Source organism: Homo sapiens, chromosome 12 (assembly GCF_000001405.40).
Source record: "Homo sapiens chromosome 12, GRCh38.p14 Primary Assembly".
NCBI classification, from domain to species: Eukaryota; Metazoa; Chordata; class Mammalia; order Primates; family Hominidae; genus Homo; species Homo sapiens.
In genome coordinates, this window is record NC_000012.12 from 102,248,909 (window position 1) to 102,258,459 (window position 9,551).

The 9,551-nt window shown below is 35.9% G+C and overlaps 2 annotated features.

Annotated features, from left to right (window-relative positions):
• Window positions 270-470: a silencer, noted in NCBI's record as "peak1918 fragment used in MPRA reporter construct". NCBI's record gives its function as "represses an SCP1 promoter by STARR-seq MPRAs in K562 erythroleukemia cells {active_cell/tissue: K562}" and the evidence as "EXISTENCE:reporter gene assay evidence [ECO:0000049][PMID:32103011]".
• Window positions 790-990: a silencer, noted in NCBI's record as "peak1919 fragment used in MPRA reporter construct". NCBI's record gives its function as "represses an SCP1 promoter by STARR-seq MPRAs in K562 erythroleukemia cells {active_cell/tissue: K562}" and the evidence as "EXISTENCE:reporter gene assay evidence [ECO:0000049][PMID:32103011]".

Below are 9,551 nucleotides of genomic sequence, written 5' to 3' on the forward strand. Positions count from 1 at the left end.
AGCATTGATAAAATTGCATGAGGTTTTCTGCTTTTTTAATTTTGGTAAGGATTTTCGGTTTAAGCTATAGGTTCTTCAAAATTATGTGTTAAATTTTATTTTATGTTTTATTTATTGTGTGTTCCCCCCACCACCCTATTTTTTTTTTTTTTGGTCTGTTTTCCATGTCTATTATTTTGCTTGCTTTCCTCAATCCTGCTCTTTTGTGCCTTAGTATGAATTCAGTGATGGCTCTTTGTGCTGCTTAATGTAGCCTTGATTTCTTGGATGGCTTTATTTATTTATTTTTCTATTTATTTTTCAAGTCTGCCAGCTCATGTTTCATCTCCTCCAGCTGTCTGCTTTGAGCTTTTTGATTCATTAGGTGCCTAGTATTCACGGCCATATTTATTTGGTCATGATTTTTATCTGGGCAGTGACAATATTGTTCTGGTGTGTATTCATCACCTGCCACTTGTTTTTCCCACATTTTTCTTCCTTTTCCTGAAAGTAACTTTGTATAGATCCTTGGCTGGTTCTTTTTGTGTTATTTCTTTTGTGAATGAGGTTAATTCCTCCAGTTATTTTCAAGAGGTTCCTTCAGGGGAGAGAATAGAGTAGTGTTCCAGGCAAGCAGTAACTCCTCCACAGTAAAGCTCCTTATGACTCAGGGGTGTGTGTGTGTGTATGTACACTATTTTAACCTTCGTTTTTCTCTAGTTCAAAGAAATCAGCAATTGCTGGATTACTCATAATTCAGATCCATTTCCTTCACCCTTCCTCAAGGATACACTGCTTCTCAGAAATGTGTGTGTTTCCTTGTTCAGCCTCACCTTCCCTGCCTGTTCTCTGGGCTCAGAGAAGGTCCAGATAAGCTCCCTCTAAAGACCAGGCATCCTGTTCTCATTGTTCTAGACAAGGTTTGTGGTTTTGCCTCTCATATTGTGTCACATACTTTGAACTGTACTCTACCTGGTTTAGTTGAGACTTTTTTTTTTTTCGAGACGGAGTCTCGCCCTGTCACCCAGGCTGGAGTGCAGTGGCGGGATCTCGGCTCTCTGCAAGCTCCGCCTGCCGGGTCCACGCCATTCTCCTGCCTCAGCCTCCCAGGTAGCTGGGACTACAGGCACCCACCACCATGCCCAGCTAATTTTTTTGTAGTTTTAGTAGAGACAGGATTTCACCGTTGTTAGCCAGGATGGTCTCGATCTCCTGACTCGTGATCTGCCCACCTTGGCCTCCCAGTTAGCTGAGATTCTCAGCCACAGATGTCTATAGGTATTTCCCTGCACTCCTGTTTGAACTTCCCTGTTGGCAGCTCTTACTCAAATATTGTAGTTCGAGGTTACAGATGTGTTATAACTTTATCAAAAATTATTATTTTTTTCTTTTTTAGTTTTCATCATTGGTTTGAGTTGATTTTGTAAAGAAAACTATGTGGAGCCATCTTTAGTTTGGCATTTCCTAATCAGCTACCATGAGTATTTATTTAGAGAAATCCATTATTATTTTGTTAGGATTCATTTTTCTAAGTGGTAAATTTACAAAATTTCAAGAATTCCAATCTGCATTTCAAAAAGATTATACAAATCTATACTCTTCTACTCATATATCAGAGTTACTATTTTCCTACACACTTACTAATATATAGAGAGAACTTTGCCTATTTGATATTCTAACAAGGTGTACCTCTTAAGTTGTACTTTTAATTATTAGGGGACAAATAATTATATCTTCTTCTTTTTTTTTTTTTTTTTTTTTAGTATTTATTGATCATTCTTGGGTGTTTCTCGGAGAGGGGGATTTGGCAGGGTCATAGGACAATAGTGGAGGGAAGGTCGGCAGATAAACACGTGAACAAGGGTCTCTGGTTTTCCTAGGCAGAGGACCCTGCGGCCTTCCGCAGTGTTTGTGTTCCTGGGTACTTGAGATTAGGGAGTGGTGATGACTCTTAAGGAGCATGCTGCCTTCAAGCATCTGTTTAACAAAGCACATCTTGCACCGCCCTTAATCCATTTAACCCTGAGTTGACACAGCACATGTTTCAGAGAGCACGGGGTTGGGGGTAAAGTTATAGATTAACAGCATCCCAAGGCAGAAGAATTTTTCTTAGTACAGAACAAAATGGAGTCTCCTATGTCTACTTCTTTCTACACAGACACAGTAACAATCTGATCTCTCTTTCTTTTCCCCACATTTCCCCCTTTTCTATTCGACAAAACCGCCATCGTCATCATGGCCCGTTCTCAGTGAGCTGTTGGGTACACCTCCCAGACGGGGTGGCGGCCGGGCAGAGGGGCCCCTCACCTACCAGATGGGGAGGCCGGGCAGAGGCGCCCCCCACCTCCCTCTTGGACGGGGTGGCTGGCCGGGCTATATCTTCTTTTGGGAATTTTCCATTATTATCCTTTAGTGAATATTGTTTCCTTTTGATGCCTTTGTCAACTTCATATAGATTTATATGAGCTTTTTCTTAAAGATATGTTGCATATATTTTTCTGTTAGTAATTTGCAAGTTTATTTTAATGTAATCTTTTACCAAATGAAAATATATTTTTATAGCAAGTTTAATATTTTCCCTTGTGGTTTCTACTTTAGGACTCATTTTCTTTACCACAGCAAAATTATATATCCACGTATATATTCCTTTAGTGTTTCAATGTTGTTTTATTTTTTGTACCTAAATCTTTAATAAGTCTGGAATTTGTTTTGAATATAGTATAAAGTACTAATCTAGCTTATTTTTCCCAAAATTGTTAGTTATGTATTTCATTACCATTTATAGAGTAATGTCTTCTTCCCCACTTATTTAAGATGCCACTACTAACACATTAATCTTAGGTTTATACAGAAACAGTTCTAAACTTTAAATTTTATTTCATTGTTTGCTTGTTTTTATGGCAGCACTGCAACATTTTAACCATTATTTTATATATTAATGCATTTTATTTTCTAGCAGGGCAAATCTCTACCATTACTAGAATTTTCAAAATCTCTTACTTAGTTTCATGTATTATTCTTCCAGATGAACTGTGGAATCATTTGTTGAGTTTCCAGAAATAAATCCTCGAACCCACTGGGATTGTACTGAGTTTATTTATTTATTTGGGAAGAATTAACATCTTGACAATATTAAGTCTTCTTAGCTGGTAACATGATATAGTTCTCCATTTAGACAAGTTTTCTTTTATGTTCTTCAACAACAATATTGTGGTTTTCTTCACAGAGGTTCTGCACATTTCTCATGAGTTTAACTCTTAGGTGATATATATTGTTTTGCTATTATGAATGCAATTTATTTTCCAATCCATTATTGCCAAATATAAGAAAAGATTGAGCTTTATTTATTTTGTAATTACTACTCTACAAATATTTCTTACAAATCCTAGTTGCTTTTCAGGTTATTCTTTTGAGTTTTATATCTAGATAGTAATGCCATTTTCAAACTTAGTTTTTCCTCGTGTCCAATATTCATACTTTTTAACTTGCTTTCTTATTCAATTGCACTGGCCAACTTTCCCAGAACAATGTTAATTAACAATAGAGTTAGCAGGCATACTTTACTTATTCTTGATTATAGTAGAATAAATTGATTGTTTTACTGTCGTTTTGATGTTTAATGTAAAAGTACATTGTGATGGTTTTGCAGTGCTTGTGTAGACCACACGAAGTTGGATCTAAAAAAATTTTAATTTTTTTTGCTTAGGATTGTCTTGGCTATATGGGCTCTGTTTTGGTTCTATATGAAATTTAAAGTAGTTTTTTCTAATTCTGTGAAGAAAATCAATGGTAGCTTGGTGGGGATAGCATTGAATCTATAAATTACTTTGGGCAGTATGGCCATTTTCACGATATTGATTCTTCCTATTCATGAGCATGGAATGTTTTTCCATTTGTTTGTGTCCTCTCTTATTTCATTGAGCAGTGTTTTGTAGTTCTCCTTGAAGAGATCCTTCATATCCCTTGTAAGTTGTATTACTAGGTGTTTTATTCTCTTTGTAGCAATTGTGAATGGGAGTTCACTCATGATTTGGCTCTCTCTTTGCCTATTATTGGTGTATAGGAATGCTTGTGATTTTTGCACATTGATTTTGTATCCTGAGACTTTGCTGAAGTTGCTCATCAGCTTAAGGAGATTTGGGGCTAAGACGATGGGGTTTTATAAATATACAGTCATGTCATCTGCAAACAGAGACAATTTGACTTCCTCTCTTTCTATTTAAATACCCTTTATTTCTTTCTCTTGCCTGATTGCCCTGGCCAGAACTTCCGATACTATGTTGAATAGGAGTGGTGAGAGAGGGCATCCTTGTCTTGTGCCAGTTTTCAAAGGGAATGCTTCCAGTTTTTGTCCATTCAGTATGATATTGGCTGTGGGTTTGTCATGAACAGCTTTTATTATTTTGAAATACATTCCATCAATGAGATACATTCTAGTTTATTGAGAGTTTTTAGCATGAAGGGGTGTTGAATTTTATTGAAGGCCTTTTCTGTATCTATTGAGATAATCATGTGGTTTTTGTCATTGGTTCTGTTTATGTGATGGATTATGTTTGTTTATTTGCGTATGTTGAATCAGCCTTGCGTCCCATGGATGAAGCCAACTTGATTACAGTGGATAAGCTTTTTGATGTGCTGCTGGATTCAGTTTGCCAGTATTTTATTGAGGATTTTCGCATTGATGTTCATCAGGGATATTGGCCTGAAATTTTCTTTTTTTGTTGCGTTTCTGCCAGGTTTTGCTATCAGGATGATGTTGGCCTCGTAAAATGAGTTAGAGAGGAGTCCCTCTTCTTCTATTGTTTGGAATAGTTTCAGAAGGAATGGTACAAGCTCCTCTTTGTACCTCTGGTAGAATTTGGCTGTGAATCTGTCTGGTCCTGGGCTTTTTTCTGGTTGGTAGGCTATTAATTACTGCCTCAGTTTCAGAACTTGTTATTGGTCTATTCAGGGATTCGACTTCTTCCTGGTTTAGTCTTGGGAGAGTGTATGTGTCCAGGAATTTATCCATTTCTTCTAGATATTCTAGTTTATTTGCATAGAGATGTTTATAGTATTCTCTAATGGTAGTTTGTATTTCCGTGGAATAAGTGGTGATATCCCCTTTATCATTTTTTATTGTGTCTATTTGATTCTTCTCTCTTTCTTCTTTATTAGTCTGGCTAGCAGTCTATCTATTTTGTTAATCTTTTCAAAAAACCAGCTCCTGGATTCATGGATTTTTTGAAGGGTTTTTTGTGCCTCCATCTCCTTCAGTTCTGCTATGATATTAGTTATTTCCTATCTTGTGATAGCTTTTGAATTTGTTTGCTCTTGCTTCTCTAGTTCTTTTAATTGTGAGCTTAGGGTGTCAATTTTAGATCTTTTCTGCTTTCTCCTGTGGGCACTTAGTGCTATAAATTTCCCTCTAAACACTGCTTTAGCTGTGTTCCAGAGATCCTGGTACATTGTGTCTTTGTTCTCATTGGTTTCAAATAGCTTATTTATTTCTGCCTTAATTTTGTTATTTACCCAGTATTCATTCCGGAGCAGGTTGTTCAGTTTCCATGCAGTTGTGCAGGTTCGAATGAGTTTCTTGGTCCTGAGTTCTAATATGATTGCACCGTGCTCTGAGAGACTGCTTTTCATGATTTCCATTCTTTTGCATTTGCTGAGGAGTGTTTTACTTCCAATTATGTGGTCAGTTTTAGAATAAGTGTGATGTGGTGCTGAGAAGAATGTATATTCTGTTGATTTGGGGTGGAGAGTTCTGTAGATGTCTATTAGGTTCTCTAGGTCCAGAGTTGAGTTCAAGTCCTGAATATCCTTGTTAATTTTCTGTCTCATTGATCTCTCTAATATTGACAGTGGGGTGTTAAAGTCTCCCACTATTATTGTGTGGGAGTCTAAGCTGGAGGCGTCATGCTACCTGACTTCAAACTATACTACAAGGCTACAGTAACCAAAACAGCCTGGTACTAGTACCAAAACAGATATATAGAAAAATGGAACAGAACAGAGGCCTCAGAAATAATGCCACACATCTACAACCATCTGATCTTTGACAAACATGACAAAAAGAAGCAATGGGTAAAGGAATCCCTATTTAGTAAATGGTGTTGGGAAAACTGGCTAGCCCTATGCAGAAAACTGAAACTGGACCCCTTCCTTACACCTTATATAAAAATTAATTCAAGATGGATTAAATACTTAAACATAAAACCTAAAACCGTAAAACCCTAGAAGAAAACCTAAGCAATACCATTCAGGACATAGACATAGGCAAAGACTTCATGACTAAAACACCAAAAGCAGTGGCAATAAAAGCTAAAACTGACAAATGGATCTAATTAAACTAAAGAGCTTCTTCTGCACATCAAAAGAAACTATCAGAGTGAACGGGCAACCTACAGAATGGGAGAAAATTTTTCAATCTATCCATCTGACAAAGGGTAATATCCAAAATCTACAAGGAACTTAAACAAATTTATAAGAAAAAAAATCAACCCCATCAAAAATTGGGCAAAGGATATGAACAGACACTTCTCAAAAGAAGACATTTAGGCAACCCACAAACTTGTGAAAAAAAGCTCATCATCACTGGTCATTAGAGAAATGCAAATCAAAACCACAATGCTGTACCATCTCACGCCAGTTAGAATGGCAATCATTAAAAAGTCAGGAAACAACAGATGCTGGAGAGGATATGGAGAAGTAGGAATGCTTTTACACTGGTGGTGGGAGGGTTAATTAGTTCAACCATTACGGAAGACAGTGTGGCAATTCCTCAAGGATCTAGAACCAGAAATACCATTTGACCCAGCAATCCTATTACTGGGTATATACCCAAAGGATTATAAATCATTCTACTATAAAGACACATGCACACGTATGTTTATTGCAGCACTGTTCACAATAGCAAAGACTTGGAACCAACCCAAATGCCCATCAATGATAGACTGGATAAAGAAAATGTGGCACATATACACGATGGAATACTATGCAGCCATAAAAAAGATGAGTTCATGTTCTTTGCATGGACATGGATGAAGGTGGAAACCATCATTCTTGGCAAACTAACACAGGAACAGAAAACCAAACACATGTTCTCACTCATAAGTGGGAGCTGAACAATGAGAACACATGGACACAGGGAGGGGAACACCACACACTGGGGCCTGTCAGGTGGTGGGGGGCAAGGGGAGGAATAGGATTAGGAGAAATACCTAATGTAGATGATGGGTTGATGGGTGCAGCAAACCACCATGGCACGTGTATACCTATGTAACAAACTTGCACGTTCTGCACATGTATCCCAGAACTTAATGTATAATACACACACACACACACACACGCACACACACGCACAAATAAATTCATACAATTAAGTGTTTTTTAAAAAGTATTTTAATTTAAATTCCCATCTAATCATTTTTTTAAATTGGTGTGTCAATTATTTGCCTTTAAAGTAACTATTGGTTTGGTTGCATTTAGATCTACCTTTATATTATTACTATTATTATTATTTTACTTATCCTCTCTGGTTTTGTCTTCTATTCTTTTTACCTGCTGTCCTTTTCTGATAGTCTATTTTTGATTTCTCTATTCACTTGTGTTCTATATCTCTGTATTTTTTAGCACTTGCTCTAGAGATTATACACATAACTAAGTTATCTTTCCAATTAAAATGCAGAGCAAAATTTGGAGCCACATGATGTTTTGGACCAAAGAATGAAATTAATCTGATTATGTCTTAACAAGATAACTTTGTTGTTCTTTTGAGAATAGATTTTACAGGTACAAAGGCTAAAGTTAGGAGATGAATGCAAATATACAGGAGTGTCTTTCTATTACTCTTTACTGAGAGTTTTTGTAAAATCAGGAAACAGTGTTAATTTTATAAACTGCTTTCTCTGCTTCTATTGAGGTAATTAGTGAGGTGGCCATTTTATTCTGTTAATGTGGTGAATTATGTTGATTTAATTTTGAATGCTAAATCAACGTTGCATTTCTGAGATAAACCCCACTTGCTCATGAGGTACTATTCTTTGTATATATTTTCTGATTTGATATGCTAATTTTTTGTGAAGATATTTTGAGACAATAAGCATGAGAGATGTGGGTCTGTAATTTTCCATGTTTTGCAAGGTTCTTATCTAGTTTTAGTATTACGGTGTGCTTGTCTCATACAATGAATTCCCTCCTCTTCTATGTTCTGAAAGATCTCACATTAGACTAGGATTAATTTTTCTTTCAAAGTTTAAAAGAATTCCCCATTGAAGCCATCTGGGCCTGGAATTTATTTTATGTAAAGAATTTTAATTACAAATTCAATATATCTTTTACAGATACAGTAGTCCTCCCTTACCCATGGTTTCACTTTCTGCAGTTTCAGTGGAACATGAACATGGTCAACGGTGATCAGAAAATGTTAAATGGAAAATTTCAGGTATAAACAATTCGTAAGTTTCAAATCACACACCATTTTGAGTATCATAATGAGATCTGTTGCCATCCTGCTGTGTCCCACCAGGATGTGAAACAGCCCTTTGTCCAGCTGTCAGTACTATATATGACACCTACCCATTAGCCACTTACTATCCCTCTCTTATCAGATTGACTGTGATGGTGTCACATTGCTTGTGTTCAAATAACCCTTATTTTACTTAATAATAACCCCAAAGCATGAGCATAGTGATGCTGGCAATTAGGATATACCAAAGAGAAGTCAAATATATGTCAAAGAGAAGTTGTTAATCTCTTACTGTGGATAATTTATAAAGTAAACTTAATCATAGGTATGCATGTATATGAAAAACCATAGTATGTGTAGGGTTTGATATTGTCTATGGTTTCAGGCATTCCCTGAGGGTGTTGCAATGTATGCCCAGTGGATTAAAGGGGACTACCTTAGAGGAGTATTCTGTTTTTTTTTTTTCTTAACTATCTTCCTGTGTCAGTTTTGTAATTTACGTGTTTCAAGGAATTTGCCCATTTCTTCTGACTTGTCAAATTAATTGGCATTTAGCTGTTAATAATATTCCCTTATTATTATTTAACTATTTGCATCATCTATAGTGATGTGCCTTCCTTCATTCCAGATGCTCTCTTTCTTTTTCTTTTTTTTCCCCTTTTATTTTTTGGTCAGTCTTGGTAAGATATTACCAGGTTTATTAAACTTTGCAAAAAACTAGCTTTTCGTTTTATTAATTTTTCTCTTGTTTGTGTTCTATTTCATTGATTTCCATTATTTTATTTTTTAGTTGCCTACATTTTCATCCTTTAGGTTTAATTTTGTAGAGTTTTGAGGGAATTTAAGAGTTTTCAACCTTTCTCCTTTTTTCTGAAGTAAGCTAGTAAAGCTACAAATTACCTTCTACGTGCTTCTTTAGATGCCTTTCATAATGTTTATTATGTTTTGTTCTCATTTTCATTTATTTCAAGGTATTTTAAAATGTCTTTCATGATTTCTTCTTTGATTTTGGATCCTTTAGTACTGTGTTGCTTAATTTTCAGATATTTGGGGTATTTTTTTCAAGATATATTTTTGTTATTGATTTTTAACTTAGTTCCTTTATTAATTTCTAATTTAG